The sequence below is a fragment of the Homo sapiens genome, chromosome 4 (genome assembly GCF_000001405.40).
Source record: "Homo sapiens chromosome 4, GRCh38.p14 Primary Assembly".
NCBI lineage: Eukaryota > Metazoa > Chordata > Mammalia > Primates > Hominidae > Homo > Homo sapiens.
The window spans coordinates 83,175,957-83,202,437 of record NC_000004.12 but is presented as its reverse complement, the minus strand read 5'-3'; the positions used below and the strand labels follow the sequence as shown (position 1 = coordinate 83,202,437).

At 44.8% G+C, this 26,481-nt stretch overlaps 1 long non-coding RNA gene across 1 annotated transcript in view, besides 3 other annotated features; it reads left to right on the top strand.

Annotated features, from left to right (window-relative positions):
* Positions 1–1,865: 1,865 nt before the first annotated feature.
* The window catches only part of LOC124900167 (uncharacterized), a 61,114-nt gene continuing 36,498 nt past the window's right edge, over positions 1,866–26,481 (top strand). Inside the window, exons 1-4 of the long non-coding RNA XR_007058167.1 lie at positions 1,866–1,907; positions 5,485–5,566; positions 11,061–12,322; positions 13,402–13,461. This is a non-coding gene — a long non-coding RNA (uncharacterized LOC124900167). The remainder of the gene's footprint in view (positions 1,908–5,484; positions 5,567–11,060; positions 12,323–13,401; positions 13,462–26,481) is intronic.
* Positions 4,599–4,718: an enhancer, noted in NCBI's record as "active region_21681". NCBI's record gives its function as "activates an Ori minimal core promoter by ATAC-STARR-seq in GM12878 lymphoblastoid cells {active_cell/tissue: GM12878}" and the evidence as "EXISTENCE:reporter gene assay evidence [ECO:0000049][PMID:35858748]".
* Positions 7,503–7,733: a silencer, noted in NCBI's record as "fragment chr4:84115858-84116088 (GRCh37/hg19 assembly coordinates)". NCBI's record gives its function as "represses an EF-1alpha promoter that drives an FKBP-Casp9 reporter gene in an ReSE screen in phorbol 12-myristate 13-acetate-treated (for megakaryocytic differentiation) K562 erythroleukemia cells {active_cell/tissue: K562(+PMA)}" and the evidence as "EXISTENCE:reporter gene assay evidence [ECO:0000049][PMID:32094911]".
* Positions 20,758–21,333: an enhancer, noted in NCBI's record as "H3K27ac-H3K4me1 hESC enhancer chr4:84102258-84102833 (GRCh37/hg19 assembly coordinates)". NCBI's record gives its function as "activates a minimal SCP1, AML or CMV promoter by ChIP-STARR-seq in naive H9 embryonic stem cells {active_cell/tissue: H9 hESC(naive)}" and the evidence as "EXISTENCE:reporter gene assay evidence [ECO:0000049][PMID:30033119]".

Here is a 26,481-nt window from a genome sequence, read left to right as displayed (position 1 = left end):
ATTAATCCACATTGCCTTCCAAAACAAGCCATAACACTTTATGTTTCCACCAATAGGTATGATGACATTTTTCTCATATCCCACTAGCAGGTAACAGTATGATTCCTTTTAACTTTTGCCAATCAGATGGATACCAAGTACAGGTTGAGGTCCCTTACCCAAAATGCTTGGAGCCAAAAGTGTTTCAGATTTTGTTTTGGAATATTTGCATTACCCTCTGGGCATCATGTGGGCCTTCTAGACATTTTCAACAATATCTTTATGCCACAAGAGAGAGAATAAGCAGAAAAAACTACAGTGAGTAATGCATATAGGTATTGGCCCCATGTGGGGTATCATGACAAACCTGCCATTGGCATATCTGGTCTTCATACCTACCATTCTAAGACCTTTTGTGGGTTTGCTTGCGTGAGGGAATCTGGCCATGCACAGAAAAGATACATCATAGCTGATGGGGGCCGGGAGGGTCTTGATTACCTTGCAGATGCTAAATAAACCGTGCAGTTGACATCTGCGTTTTGACTGAGATCTGTCACATGAGGTCAGTGTGGAATTTCCCATTTAGAGTGTCATGTCCACACTCAAAGTTTCTGATTTTGGAGCATTTCAGATTTTCAGATTAGAAATGCTTAACCTGTAATATCTTACTGTTACTGTAGCCTGTATTTCCCTAACTCTAGTGAATTTAAGTGTCTTTTCATATGTTTGTGGGTCTTTGGATTTATTTTTCTCTATCCCCTTGCAATTCATATTGGTTGCACATTTTCTGTTGGGTTTTTGGTCATTTTTCTTGTCAATTTGTAAGAGCTCTTCATCTGTTTTTTAAAAATCAACCCCTTTTCTATCATATGCTTTATTATTATTTTCAAATCTACTGTTATTGACTTTGTTTATGATTGGTTTTGTCTTAAATTTAAAAAATTTTTTATATAATCAAACATGGCTACCTTTACTTTATCGCTTGTAGGTTTCTATTGATCATGTAGTTACCTAGATTTCTTGCCTAGAGTTTTAAAATTTATATCTAAGCCTTTTATTCATCTGCAGTGTATTTTCATATGTAGTATAAGACAGAGTCTTTTTAAATTTTCTTCCAGAAAGTAGTCAGTTGTTAATTAAATGGCCCATTTCTTTCCTCCTGAATTAAATTACCACATTTGTCTACGTGAACATCTCCTCAGAATCTAACTCTATATCCATACTTGTAGAGGTTTGATTATTGTGGCTTTAGTTTCCGATTATCTGGTAGGGCAAATCTCCCTTATTGTTTTTCTTTCTCATAGTTTTCTTAACTAAGAGTTTTTCCCCTATATTTTCTGTTACTTACTTGTTAGAACTATTCCTAAAGAATGTATAGTTTATGTCAACATTATATATGCATAAATATGTTCCCATTCTTATTTTTAGTTGGTTCCTATTAAGGTAGAAAAAAAGCTATTGTGGGCTGGGAGCAGTGGCTCACACCTATAATCCTAGCACTTTGGGGGGCCAAGGCGGGAGGGTCACTTGCAATCAGGAGTTAGAGACCAGCCTGGCCAACATGGTGAAACCCTGTCTCTACTAAAAATACAAAAATTAGCTGGGCATGGTGGCACGCACGTGTAATCCCAGCTACTCGAGTAGCCACTGGTACCCATGCCACTGTACTCCAGCCTGGGGACAGAGCGAGACTCTGTCTCAAAAAAATAAAAAAGAAGGCAAAACAATTACAAGACATATTAAGAGAGTGTGATAAGATATAGGATGCTACATAGATACACAAAAAACAATAGCTTTTTTCTTTTTCTTTTTTTTTTTTTTGTCACCTAGGCTGGAGTACAGTGGCGCAATCTCGGCTCACTGCAACCTCTGCCTCCCGGGTTCAAGTGATTCTCATGCTTCAGCCTCCTGAGTAGCTGGGACTACAGGTGTGTGCCATCACGCTCAGCTAATTTTTTATATTTTTGGTAGAGACGAGTTTCACTATATTGACCAGGTTTGTCTCAAACTTCTGGCCTCAAGAGATCCTCCTGCCTTGGCCTCCCAAAGTTCTGGGATTACAGGCATGAGCCATCACGCCCAGCCTGTTTTGCCTTCTTAATTATCTTGAGTTTTCTAAATATGCAACCATATCAAAAGACATGTTTTTATTTTTTCTTTTCTGATATTTATACTTACTAGTTAACTTTTTTTCTTCTTGCATTTGCTAAAATATCTAAAATAATATTAAATAATAATGATGGTGCAGGTATCTATCTGTTTCTTGACTAAAATGCTTTCAGTAGTGTCTCTATATAAGATAATATTTGCTATTGGTTTCTGGTAGTTTTTGTCAGTTTAAATTTTTTCATGCCTACTTAGAATTTTTATTAGGAATGGCTGCTGAATTTTATCAATTATCATTTGAACAGCTGCTGATGTTTTTCTTCTGTAGTTTATCAGTGTAATGGATTAGGTTACTGGGATTTGGATATTGAACCACTCTTGCAGTTGTGGAATAAACCTTGCTGTTCATTGTATTTTACTCTTGATATAATGAAGACCTATATAAGCTAATATTTTATTTATAATTTGTATTTCTAAATCATAAGTGAAATTAGTCTATAATTATAATTGTAATTAACAAATATTACTCTATCCTTTTTTCTTTCTTATGTTTTGATATTAAAATTGTATTGGCTTCAAAATGTGAATTTAAAAGATTTTTATATGGCTTGGAGTAGCTAAACCTGCATTCCTAATCAGCATCTAGGTGGTATTAATACTACAGTCCTCGGACACACTTTGAGTAGCAAGGGTTTAAATAATTTAACATTGGGCCGGGTGCAGTGGCTCATGCCTTTAGTCCCAGCTACTTGGAAGGCTGAGACAGGAAGAACAGTTGAGGTCAGAGTTTGAGACTGTAGCGTGCAGTGATCATGCCTGTGAATAGCCACCGCACTCCAGCCTAGGCAACATAGCCAGACCCTGTCTCTTAAAAAAAAATCACTTAACATTGGAATTATCAGACCTTTAGAGGTAAATTATCAGAACTTTAGAGCTTAGCTGAAACTCAGCTACATATGTACAACTATTATATATCAATTTTAAAACCAAAAAATGTACAACTATTATATATCAGTTAAAAAAGGAAAAACAAACTCAACTCTAAGGCCATCTGGCCCTAAGGTCTTTTCAATAGTAAACGTCCAAGCACTTTACCATTACTTCTGTAATAATTGGTCCATTCATGTAATAATTTGTCCATTCACATTTTTCCTCTCTTCTTGGATGAATTTAAATAGTCTGTATTTTGCAAAAAAAAATCATACGTTTCCTATAGCTTTTCATATTCACTGTCATAGCATTGGCTGTGGTGACTCTCTTGAATCTTTTAATCGACTTCAGCTTCCTAATCTCTTTTTTTCTTTTTTCCCTCTTCAAACTTGTAAGCTGTTTATTTTATTAGTCTATCCAATAAACATTTGGAGTTATTTTCAGTAGATTTCACATATTTTCCCTCCTACTGTTCTTTATTCTTTCTTTTTTCTAAATCATTAATTCTAAATTTGACTTTTGTCAATGTCAATTTCCTGATTTCTGTTTCTAAATTTTTTTTTTTTTTTTTTTTGAGACAGAGTCTCACTCTGTCACCCAGGTTGGAGTGCAGTGGCACGATCTTGGCTCACTACAAGCTCCACCTACTGGGTTCACGCCATTCTCCTGCCTTAGCCTCCTGAGTAGCTGGGACTACAGGCACCCGCCACCATGCCCAGCTAATTTTTTTTTTTTTTGTATTTTTTTTAGTAGATACGGGGTTTCACCGTGTTAGCCAGGATGGTCTCGATCTCCTGACCTTATGATCTGTCCGACTCGGACTCCCAAAGTGCTGGGATTACAGGCATGAGCCACTGCGCCCAGCCTCTTTCTAAATTTTTGAGAGGAATAGTTAGTTCCTTTATTTTTTGGCTTTATTTTTCAGTTGCAAGGCATTTGAGAACTCCAAATATTCTCTGAGTACCATTCTCAGGGTCCTGTCTGGTGCAATAGAAAGTAATTTCCTTTTCATTGGTTTCTAGATACTTTGCGAGTCCTCTTTTACTTCCTTTTTGATCCAAGACTTATCTAAGAGTTTGCTCTTTAATTTCTAAATACATAAAGTTTTTTAGGTCATTTTTATCATGTATGTGAAATTTTTCAGTTTTTGATTTGAGAATATGACCTATAAATTATGTTGTTGTTGTTGTTAAAGCTTTCGTTGTGACCAAGCATATCAAAATTGGCTGCACTTAGGATTTTTCAGCTACATAAGCCAAGAAACTTCCTTATTGCTTAATACTCTGTGACTTGCATTAGAAAGAGTCCTGATTGATACAACTGTTGGCTGGTGTGTCAGGCCAGAAGTGCGGGAACCGTCTTCTTCCCTCTTCCTTACTGTGCACAGCAGGTGTGGCAAGTCGGCACATTCTACTTCCTCAATTTCTTTTCACCCTGGTTCCTTTTTTCACTCCTCTAATTCGAAGGGAGGGGCAGGAGAGAGGGTAGGAGAATGAATATTTGTTGAGTACCTGTTAAATTCTTATAGACTGTGCTATGACTTGTGAACTTTTTAACCCTGACAACAACCCCATGAGAAATCTAAAGCCCAGAAACAGTGAATAGCTAGTTCAAGGTCACACAGTGAGTGGTGATACCAACTCCAGAGGCCGCATTTAACGCCACAGTGCCATACTGTCTAGACAAATGTTTGCTGAATGGCTGATACCTATAAAGGCAATGCCTACTGAACTTGCTCCAGTCAACGCCCTACATGGCATTGGCCTACTCAGTCTTTTCCGAAGACAGCAATGACCCTAAAGCAGTCTAATCATTGTCAGGAGTCACACACACACATCTGTCCTCTCCCGTTTTTCTCAGGGAGTCTGTCGTCAACCACTAAATCTACCTATTCTCTGCCCAAAGCTTGCTGAGCCTGTTTGCAGAGAAAGGAGTCACACTAGCCAGGTTAGGGCCATGCCAATGGCCTGGAGATTTTCCCAGCATTAATTCACAGACACACACACACACACACACACACACACACACACACACACACACACACACACAATCTAGTCTACCAATCTGACTCCTTAAAAATCTAGCTGTCTACTGAGTCTTTCCTGAATGGCCCTGTAAAAATATTTCTACCCCCATTCCTGGGCTCCTTACAATGTCCACTAGAATGTTTATTGTTTGTTCCTCAAATCTGCTGAGCTCACGCTGGGATGGTGGCCCTAGACCCAGAGGCTTCTCCCCACACAGCCAGCACCTGTTCTTCCTTTGGGTCTCGCTCAGCTTCAGGGGCCTTTTCTGCCCATCCCACCTGACATAGGCCCCACTTCCTTCCACCAACTTATTCAGAATCTCAGCCTGTTGATGGCTTCCTTTGAAGCCTTTAGAACAACATGCAACTATTTGTTTCACTTGTGTGCTTACTGCAGGTTTGTTTGTATTCAAATATATCTGTCTTGTGTCTTTCTCCTTTAGTGGAATGGAATCAAATGGGCATCTTGAGAGCAGGAAACCTCCTTGTTGCCATTGTATCCCTAGAGCCTCACATAGGCTTCAGGTGTGTATATAGTAGGTGTTCAATATATATTTGTTGAATTAATGAAAAAAAGAATCTGAGACTTTGAACCTGAAGAGCTGATTTTATCCCTGTCACTGATGATCTGGTGGGTCCCTTTTAAGCTGCGTGATTGGAACAAATGGGTGAAATCCCCAAACTCTGGATCCGTCTCCATTTAATAGACTTTGGTTTGTCTCTGAATGATTTTTATATTCTTTTCCTATTTTGTGTGGCTGGCTTAGACCACAGTTCTAAAGGCATTTTATTTTATTTTATTTTATTTTATTTGTTTATTTATTTATTTATTTTTGAGACAGAGTCACTCTGTTGCCCACACTGGAGTGCGATAGCACAATCTCACCTCACTGCAGCATTGACCTCCTAAGCTCAAGTAATCCTCCTGCCTCAGCCTCCTGAGTAGCTGGGACCACAGGCACGCACCACTACACCTGGCTAATTTAAACAATTTTTTTTGTAGATACAGGGTCTCACCACGTTGGTCTTGAACTGTTGGCCTCAAGCAATGCTCTCGCCTTAGCTTTCCAAAGTGCTAGGATTACAGGCTTGAGCTACCAAGCTCAGCCTTTGAAGGCTTTTTTTTTTTTTTTTTTTTTTTTTTTTTGAGACGGAGTCTCGCTCAGTCGGCCAGGCTGGAGTGCAGTGGCACGATCTTGGCTTACTGCAAGCTCCGCCTACCGGGTTCACGCCATTCTCCTGCCTCAGCCTCCGGAATAACTGAGACTACAGGCGCTGGCCACCGCGCAGGGCTAATTTTTTGTATTTTTAGTAGAGGCAGCGTTTCATTGTGTTAGCCAGGATGGTCTCAATCTCCTGACCTCGTGATCTGCTTGCCTCAGCCTCCCGAAGTGCTGGGATTACAGGCGTGAGCCACCGCATCCAGCCTCTGAAGGCATTTTAAATGTCATCCCATGGAATCCTAAGTTTCTCTTATGCCTTTGGTTTGGCCTAAATGATATGACTCCGATGAGTGGGGGAACACCAGAGCTCTTGTCTCACGTTGAATTAGATAAAACAACCAGACACCCGTGGAGTGGTTTTAAGGAGCAGAGAGTTTAACAGGCAAGAAAGGAAGAAAAGAAAGGAAGAAGGTGGAAGGAAGAAGCTCCCACGTACAGAGACAGAGGGGGGGGGGGGCTCCAAAGCCGAAAGAGGAGACCCCAAGTGGGGTGGAAACCAGCCAGGTGTATGTAGAGGCTGGAGGAGGTGGTGTCTGATTTGCATAGGGCTCAGGGGATTGGTTTCACCAGGCATGTCATTCATGTAGCCCAGAAGAAACTGGCCCTTCCACCCTAGCCTTTTAACATGCAAATGCAGGGAACCCTGATGTTCTACACACATGGGGATATATGGGGGCCGCCATGTTGCCAGGCACATGTTCGGGCAAGAGCAAGGAGAAGAGGGCGGGAATGGCCATGTTTGGGTGGACCCAGATTCTAATGGCCTCCATTTGCATATCAAAGGTTGCTGGCCTGGCTTTCCAGCTAGACAAGAAATGTTTCTGACTTTAAAAACAAAAACTTCCCAAGGACCCCTTTTCATCTCTATCTGCCTAAAATAATTTCTTAATAACTCCTACCACATTAACTCTAAAGTTGTGACAATGGCAAAGCCCCATCCCTCTCCTTCAAAGGGCTGGTGTTCAGCTGGGGAAGGAGACAGATGAGCTATCCCACCCTGGAGGAGAGGGGTAACCAGGAGATGGTGATGTAGCAGAACCGGCCACAGACAAGAACCCCTCAGACACCAAGTTGTGGAACGAAAGGGCTTTATTCAGCTGGGAGCATCCGAGGACTCACGTCTCCAAAAACCGAGCTCCCCGAGTGAGCAATTCCTGTCCTTTCTAAGGGCTTACAACTCTAAGGGGGTCTGCCTGAGAGGGTCGTGATCGATTGAGCAAGCAGGGGATACGTGACGGGGCTGCATGCACCAGTAATCAGAACGGAACAGAACAGGACAGGGATTTTCACAATGCTTTTCCATACAATGTCTGGAATCTATAGATAACACAACAGGTTAGGTCAGGGGTCAATCTTTAACTACCAGGCCCAGGGCACGGCGCCAGGCTGTCTGCCTGTGGATTTCATTTCTGCCTTTTAGTTTTTACTTCTTCCTTCTTTGGAGGCAGAAATTGGGCATAAGACAATATTAGGGGTGGTGTCCTCCCTTAGTGGAAGTGCCTGAAAAGCAGAGTCATGTCCTGAGGAAGGGCAGGGATGGCAGCAGAGGAGGAAAACAACTCCATGGCATATCTTCCATGCATCCAGGCTCTCTTCCATAGCACTTCATTTCATCCTAACCACAGTCTTAGGCAGTTGATGTTCTTACCATCATTTTGTAGTTGACAGTAGTGGAAAAGCATGGGCTTTTGTGTCAGATAGGCCTAGGTTCAAATTTCATCCTCCCAAGTTATACACTATAGGCCTCTTGGGCAATGAGAGAAGAATATGGCGGGGAGGGGGAAATGTGCTTTTTTTTTTTTTTGAGACAGAGTCTCACTCTGTCACCCAGGCTGAAGTGCAATGATGCGATCACAGCTCATTGCAGCCTTGACTTTCTGGGCTCAAGCAATCCTCCTGCTTCAGCCTCCCGAAATGGAACCACAGGTGCGTTCCACTGTACGTGGCTAATTTTTTATAGAAATGAGGTCTTATTCTGTTGCCCAGGATGGTCTCGAACTTCTGGGCTAAAGTGATCCTCCTGCTTCTGCCTCCCAAAATGCTGGGATTACAGACGTGAGCCACCACACCTGGTGACAAGTGCTTTTTCTTATCCTCTCTCATCACTCAATACAATCAACACAGCACTTTTGACACCTGATGTGTGGGAGGTCTTTTCCTGGACACCAAGCAGTCAGTCAATCCTGACACCAGATTCAGGAGCTGACACCAGCTGGGTGTCCTCTTATTCAATTCAATTCTAACACTACATACCTGAAGATAGTGTCAGATCCCATGGGTTAAGGGCTCAGTCCCACAAGACTATCTCCAATTCAGATGCCAATCAAAAGCCCCACATTGTAGCCTGTGCTTCTGGCTAACTGGCTGTAAGTCAGGGTTCCCATAACTCCCTCTTGGGTTCAATTACTTTGCTAGAGTGGCTCACAAAACTCAGGATAACACTTACTTACATGTACTGGTTTATTATAAAGGATGTTCATGGCCAGGCATGGTGGCTTACGCCTGTAATCCCAGCACTTTGGGAGGCCCAGGCGGGTGGACGAGGTCAGGAGTTCAAGATCAGCCTGGCAAAGATGGTGAAACCTCATCTCTACTAAAAATACAAAATTTAGCCAAGCATGGTGGTGGGCACCTGTAATCTCGGCTACTCGGGGGGCCGAGCCAGCAAATTGCTTGAACCCAGGAAGCAGAAGTTGCAGTGAGCCGGGATCATGCCCCTGCACTCCAGGCTGGGTGACAGAGTGAGACCCCATCTCAAAAAAATAAAAATAAAATAAAGGATGTTCACAAAGCATATCAATGGAGAGATAGGCAGGGCAAGGTATGTGGGAAGAGGTAGGAGCCTCTCTACCCTCTGGGGCACGCCACCCTCCAGGAATCTCCACGTGTTCAGCTAACTGGAAGCTCTCTGAACCCAGTCCTTTGGGGTTTCATGGAAGCTTCATTACATAGGCAGGATTAGGGCGGATCACCTGAAGTCGGGAGTTCGAGACCAGCCTGACCAACATGGAGAAACCCCATCTCTACTAAAAGTACAAAATTAGCCAGGCGTGGTGGCACATGCCTGTAATCTCAGCTACCCGGGAGGCTGAGTCAGGAGAATTGCTTGAACCCGGGAGGCAGAGTTTGCAGTGAGCCGAGATCGCGCCACTGCACTCCGGCCTAGGCAACAAGAGTGAAACTCCGTCTCATTAAAAAAAAAAAAAGAGGGCCAAAAACTCCACCCTCAGATAACCTCCACACATCCATTTTTTAAAAGGGGAGAAGCATGAAACTCAATTACACATGCGAACATTTCTCCCCTCATAAATATTCATGACTTTCTGACAGCTTATAAATATGTATATTTAGCCACTCTGCTCAGTATAAATTCTTGTTCGCTTAGCCTCTTCCTTGAAGTGTCTGTTTCTGGCTTCTGAGTGGAGGCCACACTTCCCAGACTCAGAATGGCCACCCTGCAGGCTGCAACCCTTTATGAGAAATAAAGTTCTCCCTTCCAAACTTAGGAACCCCATTATTCTCCAGTTGACATTGGTTAAATCATGGCCATTGGTGATTAGCTTAACCTTCAGCCCCTGTTCTCTCCCTGGAGGCTGGGGGATGGGGCTGAAAGGTCCCAACCCTCTATTTGTACCTTGGTCTTTCCTGTGACCAGCTCCCATCGTGAAGCTACTTAAGGGCTTCCAGCTACAACTCAACTCATTAACACACAAAAAAGACACTTATCGCTTTGAAGATTCCTAAGACTTCAGGAGTTGTAGGTCAGGAAACAGGGATGAAGACCAAATATATATTTACAGTATTACAGGCAAGTTACTTAACATCTCTGGGCTCAATTGACTGATATTTATAATGAGACTAATACCAACTATAGTTGCTATGAGTACCAAAAAATATATAGATAGATATAAATTCATCGAAATGAAATAATACCAGCCTGGGCAACATAGAGAGACCCCGTCTCTACCAAAAATTTAAAAATTAGTAATCCCTGGTGGCTTGTGCCTGTGGTCCCAACTACTTGGGAGGCTGAAGAAGGAGGATCACCTGAGCCTGGGAGGTCAAGGCTGGAGTGAGCTGAGAGTATGCCACTGGACTCCAGCCTAGATGACGAGTGAGACCCTATCTCAAAAAAAAAAAAAAAAAAAAAAGTGATTTTGTGCTTGGCACAATAAATCACAGCACCTTTTTTTTTTCCGCAAGACAGAGTCTTGCTCTGTCGCCCAGGCTGGAGTGCAGTGGCGCAATCTCAGTTCACTGCAACCTCCCTGCCTCCCAGGTTCAAGCTCTTCTGCTTCAGCCTCCCAAGTAGCTGGGATTACAGGCACGTACCACCATGCCCAGCCAATTTTTGTATTTTTTAGTAGAGACGGGGTTTCACCATGTTGGCCAGGCTGGTCTCGAACTCTTGACCTCGTGAACCAACCGCCTCGGCCTACCAATCACAGCACTTTTTAATTAAGAGATTTACCCAATTTCTACCTTGTTCAGTGGCCTAGAACTTGATGGCGTCTTGCTTTGTAAGATCCTAAGGGTATTTCCCATATCAGCTGTGTGGTTTATCTCATCTCCCAGGATGTGAGTTCTTCCAGGACAGGGATAATGTCTCCTACCTTTTGGATTTAGTGGCCTATATACAGAGTGACTTTACTTACCTGCTAGTCCTCAGAAATAAGATAGCATTTGTTATGTGATATTGAATTTTCTACTCACTGGTATGTGTAAATGTTCATAGATTAGGCACATGTCTCTCTGACATAAGTAAGCATCATTTTCCACTTATCTTCCATCTCCAGGACCAACTCTCTCCATACGTGTCTGACCATAAAACAGGGTTTTTGTGATGTGAGACATTCAAGTTTTACGTTCAAATGTCATGAAAGAAAATGCAACTTGTTACAGTCACATGGATAGGAATGAAGGACAATTTAACCTCAGCTAAACTGAAGAATCTTGAAAACATTTGAGGTTTTTATATACAGTATTGTGTATATGTGGGCCTGTTTAATGATCCATTAAGCAACTCATTTCCTCTCTTATTCCTCCACCCAGCTCCTGAGAACTGCCAAGTTTCCCTATTATCACTTTCTGTTAAATCCATCCTCTTGCCTCCCATCCCTTTTCAGGCCCTCAGTATCCTTCACTTGCTCTGAAATGCTCCTGCAGTGGCTCTTGGATGTCAGTCTTACCTTCTGGAATCCAGGCTCCACACTGGTACCAGATGAGTAACTCCGAAATGCCATTGACCTTGTCCCTGCTCTGCCACCCAGTCCTTCAATACCACCTCTTGTCTACACCATGCAGTTCTCTACTTGGAACATAAGGCCCAATAACCTGGTGTTGGGCTCTGAACACTTTGACATGCTGAGTAATTTAAACTGAAGGAGACTGGAAGGTCTCAGAAGGCGGGGCTCTCTGACCTCTCCCATCCTTCGGTTTTCCACCAGTCTTTCTCCTCTGAGGTGATTCACAGAAACCAGAATTCCTCTTCCCCAAGGTGGGTCATAGAAACTAGAATCCCTTTCCCCCAAAGCAAGCCATAAAACCTAGAAAGGCCACTCCCTTTTCCTTCTCCCTTCTTCCTTGGAGACCCTCATTTCAGAGGGGTCCTGCCCCATCCCCAGGAGGAAAAAATGCTACACAGGCCAAGAAAAATCTGAACAGACAGGCCTTTCTGGATTTCCCTCCCCTGCCCCAACCTCTGTTATTACCATTAGATCACACTCTTTTTGTCTAATCATATTCCTACATGGCTAGCCATTCTTCAGTGAACCTATGCATTAAACTAGTTTTCCCTGGGTCATTGGGTCTTTATTTCTGAAGACCCCTATATCATGTAAAACTTTGATTAAATAAACGTGTTATGGTTTTCTCTTGTTAACCTGTCTTCTGTTATAGGAGTGTTGACCATGATCCTTATAACAGGTGAGGAAAGATGTCACCTTTCTGCCCCCTATAGTTTCTGGCACCCAAAGTAGGGGTGGCTGAGACACCTAATTTGCTCTGGAACCTGCAGAATAGATCCTGGGACAACTGACAAACAGCCGGCAAAGAAAAGGTAAGAATTTTTTTACCAAGGTCAGCTCTCCCGAAGCTCTGCCTCTAGTGTTCAGTTAAGAACTGAAGGTAAAAATTTCTCTATACCTTCCATTCCAAATTAGGTAAGCAGGAGAAAATCATTTGTTTGGATTGTGACTCTTGTGTAAAATTTGGTTTTGGGGTACCATTTGTTATTGATCCTTTCCCTCCCAGGGACAGCTATTTCCTTCCTGTTTGTCTCATTTTGTGTCCTGAGTGTTTGGCTTTGTGACCAGTGAGAGTACTCTGTCGGGTCTCTGCCATCAGGGGGGCAAAGTATCAGCTTGCATCAGGAAGCCAGTCGAATAGGCTGGGAGCCTCTTCTGTTTGTCAGAGTGCGTCAGCTCTCAGATGAATCGTCTTACTAAGAGGTCCCAGTTCATAAGAGGCTTTTGTTGTCTCAACCTTTGTTGTTTGGTCCTGTGGCAACAAAGGTCTTTCTTTTGACCGTCCTTGAGAGTGGCTCTGCATCTTGGGAGGGCTGCCTCTCTTGAGTAAGTCTCTTTCATCCTTGGTTAAGTTATAAAACACTTACTGGTTTTGATTCTATAATAAGTCACTTGGTAGATACCTCTGGTTTAAATGGGGAAAAAAAAAAAGCCAGGAATAGTTGTTATTTGCTCCAGCTAAAATCTAATGATAAGGGACTTGAAAGGTTTTTTTGTTTGTTTTTTGTTTGTTTGTTTGTTTGTTTGTTTTGGAGCTCTGTGGTCAGAAGTCAGGTTAATTGGAAACTGATATTCAGGATACAATCTTTTAAAGTTATTTCTGTTCTCTCTATTGGATCTTGCTTACCCTAGGAGAACATCTCAGTTGACTGATACCCTCTTCTTGAACCCCTGCAAACCATATGCTCGGTCTTTCTGCCCACTTCCTTTCTTGTTGGCATAATTTTTGCTAAGGATAATGTGGAACTTCATTGGGAAAATTAAGATCTCTCCATACTGACTTCTGAAGACTACTTCTTCTATTTACTTCTGTCCCTCCTTCCTTTTGCCACCCTCAATCTTCTGAACTTTCAATTCAGTTCTTTTAATCCCTGATATGTTCCCCTTCAAGCTCCTGTCTCCTCCATTTGTTGATCGGTGGATGGAAAATTACTAAAAGGAAACATCAGAGGTAAGAAGAATTCAGGTTTCTATGGCCAAACTTTAGTCAGGCTTCTGAACCTTCTCCAAGGCCCATCTCTGTACTTCCTTGTAAAATCCTATAGTAAATTCCTGTAAGTCTATGTTGCCTTGACATCCATTTTGAATCCTCCTCTGGTCTCACCTAACCGACACACCCAAACCTCACTCTCCTCCTGGTCTGGGCTCTCATAAAGAGTGGCTTTTTTGATAGGCCTGTCAGGGCAGGGGTAGAGTTTATAGCCACTCTCAAGAAAAAAATCTCAAGACCAAACTAGTGAAAAATGCAAAAATTCAGTTTTAGCAGAAATAGATGTCTTGTCCATTCACATGGGTCTTTGGAGACGGTTACCTGCTAGATGTCCCTTCAGTCACCAGCCTAAAATTTAGTCCACAGCTTCCATAAGATTGATCTCTGATAATAGACTTTCTCTATTCACTCTATTTGAGAAAGCCTATTATCAGAGGAACTTTGAGATATAAATTTCCTACCCTGTCTTCTCTAGAACTTGATGGTTATCTTGTGGAAATTCAAACTTCAAAGAAATAATGATCATCAGAAACCGGGTTTTACCAGAAACTGGTAAAATAAAAAGTCTTAAAATCTTTCTCCACAATACTTCAGAAAAAGCTTTAACCATCTGAGCAGGTAGCCTCAACTTGTCCCATTCGCCAGATCTAGTTAGTGAGTCTTAAATTATCAGACCTGGCACATGGCTAAATGTTTTAGAATGAAAGCTGTAAAATCTGCTTCTGTCTGATTATTAAATAATTAGATTATTTAATAATCTAAACATACATTTTTGCCTGGGTTTACTGATTATACATGTTTGTGTTGTCTCTGTTAGATGCTTAAGACCATAAAAGTATAAATCCAACCTAAGAGCAGAATGCACACTAAAAATAAATTGCCTGACGCATGTCAGTCATGGAGAAAAAAAAAGAGAGGAAAGAACCACATTGAAATTTTTAGTTTCTTGGCTTCTATAGTATTTTTGGTACTTGCCTGATTTACCAATAACAACAAAAAATACTTAAGATATTGGCCAGCTTTGTTTAATGTCTCATAAAATTTTCATGAACAGTTCAAGCATAATTGTTTAGAATAAGTAAATTAAATGAATATAAGTTGTATAAAAGTTTAAGTGAGGTTTTATTAATAATTGTTTATAAAATATCTACTTTAAAATGGCCTCAAAAATCTTTTTGATAACTTGTAACCTTAAAATAAAATTAAGTAATAAATGCCCATTAGATGTTTGAGTCATTTCCAAGTAAGTTAAAATATTGAAACAATGATTACTAAGCATGAATTTAAGTTTATATACTTTGTCATCTTGTTTTTTTGTTTGATTGTTTGTTTTTTCTTGAGACAGAGTCTCGCTCTGTCGCCCAGGCTGGAGTACAGTGGCGCGATCTCAGCTCACTGCAACCTCCACCTCCCGGGTTCAAGCGATTCTCCTGCCTCAGCCTCCTGAGTAGCTGGGATTACAGGTACGTGCCACCACACCTGGCGAATTTTTGTATTTTTGGTAGAGATGGGGTTTCACCATGTTGGCCAGGCTGGTCTCGAACTCGTGACCTCAAGTGATCCACCCGCCTTGGCCTCCCAAAGTGCAGGGATTACAGGCATGAGTCACCGCACCCAGCTGTCATCTTGTTTTTATATGGCCTAGAGAAATGAAATATATTTAGTTTGTTAATAAATATGAAAAATTGAGGAAACATGTTTCCTAAAAGTATAAAATGGTGAATGCTAATATAAGACAGTTCACAATGTTTGCTAATTTTCACTAGAAATTAAATTTAATAAGAATTTAAAATTATAATTAATGTATATAATTAACCTATTCAAAATTATAAGGGAAACAATACTGTATGCAACAAAAGTAAGTTGTGTCTGATAAAAAAAGGTATGAAGGGCTCTCCCTCTTCCCCCTCCCCGTCCCCCTCCCCCTCCCCCTCCCTCTCCTTCTCCCCTCTCCACGGTCTCCCTCTGATGCCGAGCCGAAGCTGGACTGTACTGCTGCGATCTCGGCTCACTGCAGCCTCCCTGCCTGATTCTCCTGCCTCAGCCTGCGAGTGCCTGCGCGCGCCGCCACGCCTGACTGGTTTTCGTATTTTTTTGGTGGAGACGGGGTTTTGCTGTGTTGGCCGGGCTGGTCTCCAGCTCCTAACCGCGAGTGATCCGCCAGCCTCGGCCTCCCGAGGTGCCGGGATTGCAGACGGAGTCTCGTTCACTCAGTGCTCAATGGTGCCAAGGCTGGAGTGCAGTGGCGTGATCTCGGCTCGCTACAACCTCCACCTCCCAGCCGCCTGCCTTGGCCCCGCAAAGAGCCGAGATTGCAGCCTCTGCCCGGCCGCCACCCCGTCTGGGAAGTGAGGAGCGTCTCTGCCTGGCCGCCCATCGTCTGGGATATGAGGAGCCCCTCTGCCTGGCTGCCCAGTCTGGAAAGTGAGGAGCGTCTCTGCCCGGCCGCCATCCCATCTAGGAAGCGAGGAGCGCCTCTTCCCCGCCGCCATCCCATCTAGGAAGTGAGGAGCGTCTCTGCCCGGCCGCCCATCGTCTGAGAGGTGGGGAGCACCTCTGCCCCGCCGCCCTGTCTGGGATGTGAGGAGCGCCTCTGCCCGGCCGCCCCGTCTGAGAAGTGAGGAAACCCTCTGCCTGGCAACCGCCCTGTCTGAGAAGTGAGGAGCCCCTCCGTCCAGCAGCCACCCCGTCTGGGAAGTGAGGAGCGTCTCCGCCCGGCAGCCACCCCGTCCGGGAGCGGGGTGGGGGGGGGTCAGCCCCCCGCCCGGCCAGCCGCCCCGTCCGGGAGGTGAGGGGCTCCTCTGCCCGGCCGCCCCTACTGGGAAGTGAGGAGCCCCTCTGCCCGGCCAGCCGCCCAGTCCCGGAGGGGGGAGTGGGGGTCAGCCCCCTGCCCGGCCAGCCGCCCCGTCCGGGAGGTGAGGGGCGCCTCTGCCCGGCCGCCCCTACTGGGAAGTGAGGAGCCCCTCTGCCCGGCCAGCCGCCCCGTCCGGGAGGGAGGTGGGGGGGTCAGCCCCCCGCCCGGCCGGCCGCCCCGTCCGGGAGGTGAGGGGCGCCTCTGCCCGGCCGCCCCTACTGGGAAGTGAGGACCCCTCTGCCCGGCCAGCCGCCCCGTCCGGGAGGGAGGTGGGGGGATCAGCCCCCCGCCTGGCCAGCCGCCCCGTCCGGGAGGTGAGGGGCGCCTCTGCCCGGCCGCCCCTACTGGGAAGTGAGGAGCCCCTCTGCCCGGCCAGCCGCCCCGTCCAGGAGGGAGGTGGGGGGGTCAGCCCGGCCTGGCCAGCCGCCCCATCTGGGAGGGAGGTGGGGGGGTCAGCCCCCCGCCCGGCCAGCCGCCCCGTCCGGGAGGGGGGAGGGGGAGTCAGCCCCCTGCCCGGCCAGCCGCCCCGTCCGGGAGGGAGGTGGGGGGATCAGCCCCCCGCCTGACCAGCCGCCCCGTCCGGGAGGTGAGGGGCGCCTCTGCCCGGCCGCCCCTACTGGGAAGTGAGGAGCCCCTCTGCCCGGCCAGCCGCCCCGTCCGGGAGGGAGGCGGGGGGGGGGGTCGGCCAGCCGCCCCGTCCAGGAGGGAGGTGGAGGGGTCAGCCCCCCGCCCGGCCAGCCGCCCTATCCAGGAGGTGAGGGGCGCCTCTGCCCGGCCGCCCCTACTGGGAAGTGAGGAGCCCCTCTGCCTGGCCAGCCGCCCCGTCCGGGAGGGTGGTGGGGGGGTCAGCCCCCCGCCCGGCCAGCCGCCCCATCCGGGAGGTGAGGGGCGCTTCTGCCCGGCCGCCCCTACTGGGAAGTGAGGAGCCCCTCTGCCCAGCCACGACCCCGTCTGGGAGGTGTGCCCAGCGGCTCATTGGGGATGGGCCATGATGACAATGGTGGTTTTGTGGAATAGAAAGGCGGGAAGGGTGGGGAAAAAATTGAGAAATCGGATGGTTGCCGGGTCTGTGTGGATAGAAGTAGACATGGGAGACTTTTCATTTTGTTCTGTACTAAGAAAAATTCTCCTGCCTTGGGATCCTGTTGATCTGTGACCTTATCCCCAACCCTGTGCTCTCTGAAACATGTGCTGTGTCCACTCAGGGTTAAATGGATTAAGGGCGGTGCAAGATGTGCTTTGTTAAACAGATGCTTGAAGGCAGCATGCTCGTTAAGAGTCATCACCACTCCCTAATCTTAAGTACCCAGGGACACAAACACTGCGGAAGGCCGCAGGGTCCTCTGCCTAGGAAAACCAGAGACCTTTGTTCACTTGTTTATCTGCTGACCTTCCCTCCACTATTGTCCTATGACCCTGCCAAATCCCCTTCTGCGAGAAACACCCAAGAATGATCAATAAAAAAAAAAAAAAAAAAAAAAAAAAGGTATGAAGGATGAATTTTTGTTTGAAAAGAGAAGTTGATGAATATTTTTTAAAAGTTACAAAAAGTTTGTGGAAACTATCTTGTATGATCAAAGCTGACTTAGATTGGATGAATTTATTTAAAAGGTTTTATTGAAAATTAGCTTTAGTAGTAATAGCACATAGATACAAAAGTAGAAGTTGGCCTTTTCTGTCAAAATGATGAAGTTTTATTGGGGTATTGGTCTGAGAAGATAAATTGGTCTGAGGTTTTTTCCTTTTAAGTAATTGACCTAGAAAATAGACTTTGTGTTTTATCAAGATAATTTTTTATGCCTCATGTTATTTTCTGTTGGATCTTTGATTACTTAAGAAAAGTGAGACTTCTCAATATTAAAAGAGCTAAGTTTGTTCAGAACCATGTAACTTTCTGTATTTGCCTTTAAATTTTTCTGCTGTCACTTTGATGAAATAGATAGCCAAGATCATTTTTAATTGTTAAGTCTTTTGACATTTTTTACAAACTTCCCAAAATCAAATCTTAAATTAAGTTGTTTCAATCTCAAATTAATTTTGAGATTTTTCTGTTGGACCCCTGGAAAGTTGCAAGAGATGTTTCTATTGCCTTGTAAAAGACTGATATAAAACTAATTAAGCGTATTTGATATGTTAAATTACATGAGAAGCATTGATTGTCAATGAGTAAGTGATGTTAAACCTTCAAGTTATATTTATGGGTATGTTATTGATATGAGTGCTCCAAAAATTAATATGAGATTGCTAGAAATCTAACATGTCATCAGTCATAATTTGGGTTATTATGTTAAAGTATTGTATACCACAGAAAGAATCAAATTTCCTTGTCACATGCTGGTTATAATGAACTCTCATCAAATTTTTAACCATGGCCATTCTGCCCTTGTTATCCACAGTATTGTTTTGATTCTTGTCCAAAAGCACCTGGATCACTGCAGTCCCCCACCACAAGTTGCTTTTTCTTCAAGCAGATTCATGGGAAAAACTCTGACAAGTACTCTTGAATACAGATTTATGTTAATTATTTAAACAAAGTAATATACTATGGCACAAGTAAAATTTTACTATGTAACTAACACAGCCAAGGAAGAATTGAGTGCTAGGTGTTAATTATTTCCCTAGATGAATCTTTTAAAAACCCACAGGTCTGCAACATGAATTGTCTTTTAAATTAAATTTGGCAGTAGTGATTCTTTTTTTTTTTTTTTTAAATTTTTATTTTTTTTATTGATCATTCTTGGGTGTTTCTCGCAGAGGGGGATTTGGCAGGGTCATAGGACAATAGTGGAGGGAAGGTCAGCAGATAAACAAGTGAACAAAGGTCTCTGGTTTTCCTAGGCAGAGGACCCTGCGGCCTTCCGCAGTGTTTGTGTCCCTGGGTACTTGAGATTAGGGAGTGGTGATGATTCTTAATGAGCATGCTGCCTTCAAGCATCTGTTTAACAAAGCACATCTTGCACCGCCCTTAATCCATTTAACCCTGAGTGGACACAGCACATGTTTCAGAGAGCACAGGGTTGGGGGTAAGGTCACCGATCAACAGGATCCCAAGGCAGAAGAATTTATCTTAGTACAGAACAAAATGAAAAGTCTCCCATGTCTACTTCTTTCTACACAGACACGGCAACCATCCGATTTCTCAATCTTTTCCCCACCTTTTCCCCCTTTCTATTCCACAAAACCGCCATTGTCATCCCGGCCCGTTCTCAATGAGCTGTTGGGTACACCTCGCAGATGAGGTGGTGGCTGGGCAGAGGGGCTCCTCACTTCCTAGTAGGGGTGGCCGGGCAGAGGCGCCCCTCACCTCCCGGACGGGGCAGCTGGCCGGGCGGGGGGCTGACCCCCCCACCTCCCTCCTGGACAGGGCGGCTGGCCGGGCGGGGGGCTGACCCCCCCACCTCCCTCCCGGACGTGGGGCTGACCCCCCCACCTCCCTCCCGGACGGGGCGGCTGGCCGGGCGGGGGGCTGACCCCCCCACTTCCCTCCCGGACGGGGCGGCTGGCCAGGCAGAGGGGCTCCTCACTTCCCAGTAGGGGCGGCTGGGCAGAGGCGCCCCTCACCTCCCGGACGGGGCGGCTGGCCGGGCGGGGGGCTGACCCCCCCACCTCCCTCCCGGATGGGGCGGCTGGCCGGGCGGGGGGCTGACCCCCCCACCTCCCTCCCGGATGGGGCGGCTGGCAGGGCGCCTGAGCCCCCCACCTCCCTCCCGGACGGGGCGGCTGCCGGGCGGAGACGCTCCTCACTTCCCAGACGGGGTGGCTGCCGGGCAGAGGAGCTCCTCATTTCTCAGACGGGGCGGCTGCCGGGCGGAGGGGCTCCTCACTTCTCAGATGGGGCGGATGCTGGGCGGAGGGACTCCTCACTTCTCAGACGGGGCAGCTGGGCAGAGACGCTCCTCACCTCCCAGACAGGGTCGCGGCCGGGCAGAGGCGCTCCTCACATCCCAGACGGGGCGGCGGGGCAGAGGCGCTCCCCACATCTCAGACGATGGGCGGCCGGGCAGAGACGCTCCTCACTTCCCAGATGGGATGGCTGCCGGGAAGAGGCGCTCCTCACTTCCTAGATGGGATGGCGGCCGGGCAGAGACGCTCCTCACTTTCTAGACTGGGCAGCCAGGCAGAGGGGCTCCTCACGTCCCAGACGATGGGCGGCCAGGCAGAGACGCTCCTCACTTCCCAGACGGGGTGGTGGCCGGGCAGAGGCTGCAATCTCGGCACTTTGGGAGGCCAAGGCAGGCGGCTGGGAGATGGAGGTTGTAGCGAGCTGAGATCACACCACTGCACTCCAGCCTGGGCACCATTGAGCACTGAGTGAACCAGACTCCGTCTGCAATCCCGGCACCTCGGGAGGCCAAGGCTGGCGGATCACTCGCGGTTAGGAGCTGGAGACCAGCCCGGCCAACACAGCGAAACCCCGTCTCCACCAAAAAAGTACGAAAACCAGTCAGGCGTGGTGGCGCGCGCCTGCAATCGCAGGCACTCGGCCGGCTGAGGCAGGAGAATCAGGCAGGGAGGTTGCAGTGAGCCGAGATGGCAGCAGTACAGTCCAGCTTCGGCTCGGCATCAGAGGGAGACCATGGAAAGAGAGGGAGAGGGAGACCGAGAGGGAGAGGGGAGAGGGGAGAGGGGAGAGGCAGAGGCAGAGCAGGAATTCAGATTTTTTTTTTTTTGGCAGTAGTGATTCTTAAGAGCCTGTGAGTATCGTGACTTTTTAAAAAGTGCTGTTACAAGATCCATTTTTTTCCCTAAGAGACAATTTTTTTAATCATTAAAGAAGAAATCATTGTATCACCAGTAAGAGTGGTGTATTTAAACAGAATATTACAAATTCCCTCTAGAAAGTTTATTTTGTAAACTTATTTTGTAATTCGTTTCAAGATTTGCTACTGGCATCAGTTTTGCTGGGAGGAGGCATAATTTCTGTTTCAGTCATTTTGAAGTTTATTACCATTTTGTTGTCAGAAGTTAATTCTATATATGTTTTTATATAACAAACACAATTTTGAAATCATTACCATCTGACCACTTGTTTTCTTAGCTGATTTGTAGCCTTCTTATTACTGGCAATATTACTGTAAGGCTAGCCGAGAGAAAGGATGAGTAGACCTAAGTCAAGCAAGTTTATTAACCTGCTGGGCTGCTCCTTAACAGTCAAAGGAGGCAGCCCTGAACTCACAGAATGAGGAGTTTATATGGGGTCGGAGGGGCTTAAGGGAGTTTCTGGGTATAACCGCATCCTGGGGTTGTTTGTCGGTTATCTTTACCGCTAAGAGTATCTATTAGCTTGTAACAGGCACAAAGGTAGTTCATCAGCTTGTAATAGACTTATAACACGTCATTCCCTGACTTTTAAGGTGGCAGTTAGATGAAAAACAGGAATTTACAAGAATGTGTAACTAAGGTTTGTTCACATTTCCCACGACTTCCCCGGTGCTGCCCAAATGGCTGTAATTAGGGTTTGCTCCACTTAGCATGTCTGGTAACTTTGCTGTGGCACCCAGATAAGTGTTTAGGAAGGCAGCTGCAGAGTATTCAGGGTAAGGGGAAGTTGGGGGGATTCCTGGGGTAGCTTGTCCCTAACAATTACCAAAGTAGCTTTCAGTATTTTCACTCTAGAGGGAAGGATTAGCCTTTCTCATTTGCATGATTTAAGAAAAGGGGAAAAGGGAAGCTTCTTTTTTTCCTCCCTCTTCCTAGTCTTTAAGGCAAACACATCACTTAAAGATAGTTGATTAGGGGAAGTGGACAGGGTTCGGAGGTAATATTTCTGATGTCTAGATGTCTAAAATAGAGACCCCTAAATTGTGTACATGAGACACACAGTTCTGTCTTCAAACATTTGTTCATTCACTTATTTAAAAAAAAATTGCTCATTGAGCATCTACTGTGCTCCAGGTGCTGTGGTAGGATTAAAAGATGACTGGCCAGTACCTGTGTAGCTCAGACTCGGGTAGTGGGAAGAGACCTGAAAACAACTGACCTTAAAATATAACCAGGACCAGCCAGGCGCGGTGGCTCACGCCTGTAATCCCAGCGCTTTGGGAGGCCGAGGCAGGCAGATCATGAGATCAGGAGATTGAGAACATCCTGGCTAACACGATGAAACCCCATTCCTATTAAAAATACAAAAAATTAGCCAGGTGTGGTGGCGGGTGCCTGTAGTCCTAGCTACTCGGGAGGCTGAGGCAGGAGAATGGCGTGAACCTGGGAGGCAGAGCTTGCAGTGAGCCGAGATCGTGCCACTGCACTCCAGCCTGGGCGACAGAGCGAGACTCCATCTCAAAAAAAAAAATATCTATATCTATATCTATATCTATATATCTATATATAGATATAGATAGATAGATAGATAGATAAAACTAGGACCAGGCAAATGTCTTTAGAAGCCTTAAACACACTGAACACTGTGTGATGTGCTACCCATCTATAACTTTCCATATGTAAATAAGTAAATAAGTGTAAAGAAGTCCAATATAATTGTGATTACTTTCCTTAAAGATGACATTTACTTGAGGAGGGAGGAGCTACATATTTTTCCACATTTTTATTTTATTTTATTGCCCTAGCTTTTTGAGTGTCCTAAGGCTGTGCTTCCGTTACCTGGGAAATCCAACCCTAAGAACAACCTAACCCCTAAGAACAACGCTAAGAGCACTTGAAGGTATTCATAAAACTCAGAGGAATCCCTGAGGACTGGGCAGACACTTGAGAAGTGGCCATCAGTTGTATTGAGCAGTTAGCATGTAACACTGTGTGGAAACACACAGGTTTTCCTTGGGGGAGTGAAGACAGAGACAAATGTGGGGCAATGAAGTCAGAGACAAAGACACTTAATGGCTGTCTCTTCCCAAATATACACCATGTTTGGGAAGAATGCATCTGGAGGCTTTTGGGAAAAAGAAATATTTCATAATCAAGTGTTTGCCTAGGATGCTGCCCTTTTCCTAAAGGAAATTTATCAACATCTGTTTCACAGCCACAAGATAATTGCATGTTTATTGAAGTTTTGAGATCCATTTATACTGGCTAGAGCACTCACTGAACAGTTTTGTAGTCTTCTTATAAAATATTAGATTGGGACTTGTTAGAGTTATAGATTATAAACACCACCCAAATTCAACATTCTGTAAATTTTTACCACCAGTTTTATGGCTGAGGCTATCTTAGCTCTCTTGACTTCCATCCCTAGTACAAGTTGTTGGCATTTTGAAAGGAACCCTTTCCCCTATCTACAGCAAAACAAAATTTAAAATAATTTAACAAAGTTGACTTTTCACTGAAAAAGTTAAAAAAAGAAACAAAAGGCAGGGCGCGGTGGCTCACGCCTGTAATCCCAGCACTTTGGGAGGCCAAGGCGGGCAGATCACGAGGTCAGGAGATCGAGACCATCCTGGCTAACACGGTGAAACCCCGTTTCTACTGAAAATACAAAAAATTAGCCGGGCGTGGTGGCGGGCGCCTGTAGTCCCAGCCACTCGGGAGGCTGAGGCAGGAGAATGGCATGAACCTGGAAGGCAGAGTTTGCAGTAAGCCAAGATTGTGCCACTGCACTCCAGCCTGGGGGACAGAGTGAGACTCCATCTCAAAAAAAAAAAAAAAAAAAAAGAAAAGAAAAAAAATTGACCAAGTCCCTTTTTAAAAAATTATTTATTTATTTATTTATTTAGAGATGAGATCTTGCCATCTTGCCCAGGCTGGTCTTGAACATCCTTGGCTCAAGCAATCCTCCCACCCCGGCCTCCCAAATTGCTGGGATTACAGGTGTGAGCCACTGTGCCTGGCCAACCAAGTCCCTTTGAGTCATTTTGTACCAAAGTGAATGCAGCTGTTAGCTGGATTCTCACCAGCTAAGTGATCTTCAGCCCACATTATTTGAAGAACAGGCAATTCCAATTCACATTTGAGTCACAGCGAGATTTAAAATACAGTGCTGCACTTTACAGGTGTTCTGGCTCTTTTAGCCAAGATGTTAAATGTGAGACATCTAAAGGACTATTCTCTGAACATGGCCAGATACCAGACATGCTAAGCATGGTTAGAGCTGAGCCCTCTGCAATTCTGGGGGCTGGTGGGTACCCTCTTCTCCTTTTGGGATTCCTCTCTGTTTAGCTCCTATTGGAGACAAATAGTTCCAAGAAAGATGTGAAGAAACAGAATAAAGGCAAAACGTGAGTCTGGGGAAGTAAGTCATTGCCTAGGTAAGAAACCTACTTTTAGTCGAGGGCTTTTAGGATATCTGCATATAAATTGGGACTTTTAAGGTAACTCAAAGATTCATTCATTAAACCAATAGTATTTCAGCCCTTGGGATGAACTCAAACTCTTGACTTTCTTAGACAGACTCTACCCTGTCACACAAACTCAAGAGTCATGGTGGGGGCATCTCAACTAATTAGGTAATTCTGAGCTACAGCATAATTGGATACCAGTTTTAAAAGAGATGAATGCTTGCTCTCCATGTAAAACAAACAGAAAGGAAAGCAGCCTTCTCCACATTGCAGGAGAAATGGTTTTATTGCCTCAATTGGGAATATCCTCATTAAAAACTGGTCCTACACACTAATTACTGTTTTAATGGATTAAATGGAAAGACATACATTGAAAATGTCACAAGTAGTTAAGCTTTGTATGGTGGAATTGCTAGAGGTTTTTTGTTTTGATATTTTGGTAATTCTCAGATTTTCTTCATTGAGCATATTATTCATTCATTCATTCATTCATTCATTCATTTTTAGAACCAAGCAACACCTCATTCTATGCCATAGAATGAGTGTTCCCCTTGGCTTAATTTTTTTAAATTATACGTGTTTGGGGAGAAAATTTAAGTGGTACATGAAGTTTGAAGTTGAGAGGAAATGTATTTTATTATTGTATAAAAGACTCAAGTTGGACTAATTCAATACTCAAAAATCATCATTTCCTTTAATGTGGTGATTCTCAACCCTGGCTGCACTTTGTAATTACCTGGGAAGCCTTAAAAATACCAATTCCAGATCACTCACTCAATCTCTACAACCAGATCAAATGGTTCAGAAGCAGAATAGGGCCAATTAGTATTTTTAGAAGATCAACTTATTATAATATCTAAGGTTCCATATTGCAATTCTTTTATCTTTACAGCATTGACTAGGAAGTTACATTACAGACAGTCCCTAACTTACAATAATTCCACTTACAATTTTCCAACTTCATGATGAATTTATCTGAACTAAATGCATTTTCAACTTAATAATTTTGTTTACTTATAATAAGTTTATCTGGACATCACCCCATATAAGTTGAGGGACTTTCTGTACTTAAAATTTGACTCTGTAGGTGTATTGTTACATTCTTTTATTACCATGGGAGAAGGTGGTAATACCTACTACAAAAGTTTTCCAGGCTCTATGGTACAGAACTTGGGGACTTTTATCAGCCATGTGGTCACTTGCTGAAGCAGCCCCAGAGGTGGTTTCTGAGGGAAACAAACTTTCCTGTAGGTAGATGACTTAAGCTCACTTCCATGCTACACTAGGGTGGTCTTCTATTCAGCTGTGTGTCCCCACTCCATTCCTTAATTTTTATAACAATGCAATACGTTATATACCTTTCCATCTGCATACCTCTTCTCATGGATAAGCAGCTTGAGCTGGGAATCTGAACTCAAGGTCTTGCCAGACTTTTAACTCAGTCTCACCACTGCCCAGTTCTTACTAAACCTCATAAATAGCTGGCAAAAATGCTATTTATGAAGAATTATCAAGGAACATGCCCCCTTGTACTCCTCTAAACAATCTTTAGGCCAAGTTCTGTGGCTCACACCTGTAATCCCAGCACTTTGGGAGGCCGAGGCAGGCGGATCATTTGAGGCCAGCTGTTGGAGAGCAGCCTGGCCAACATAGTGAAATCCATTCTCTACTAAAAATACAAAAATTAGCCAGGCATGGTGGCACACGCCTGTAATTCCAGCCACTCGGGAGGCTGAGGCACGAGAATTGCTTGAACCCAGGAGGTGGAGTTTGCAGTGAGCTGAGATGGCACCACTGCACTCCAGCCTGGATCACAGAGCAAGACTCTGTATCAAAAAAGTCTTTAAAAATCTGATTTTTAATCTTGAATTATCTCAGATTATCAGACAGATAAGTACT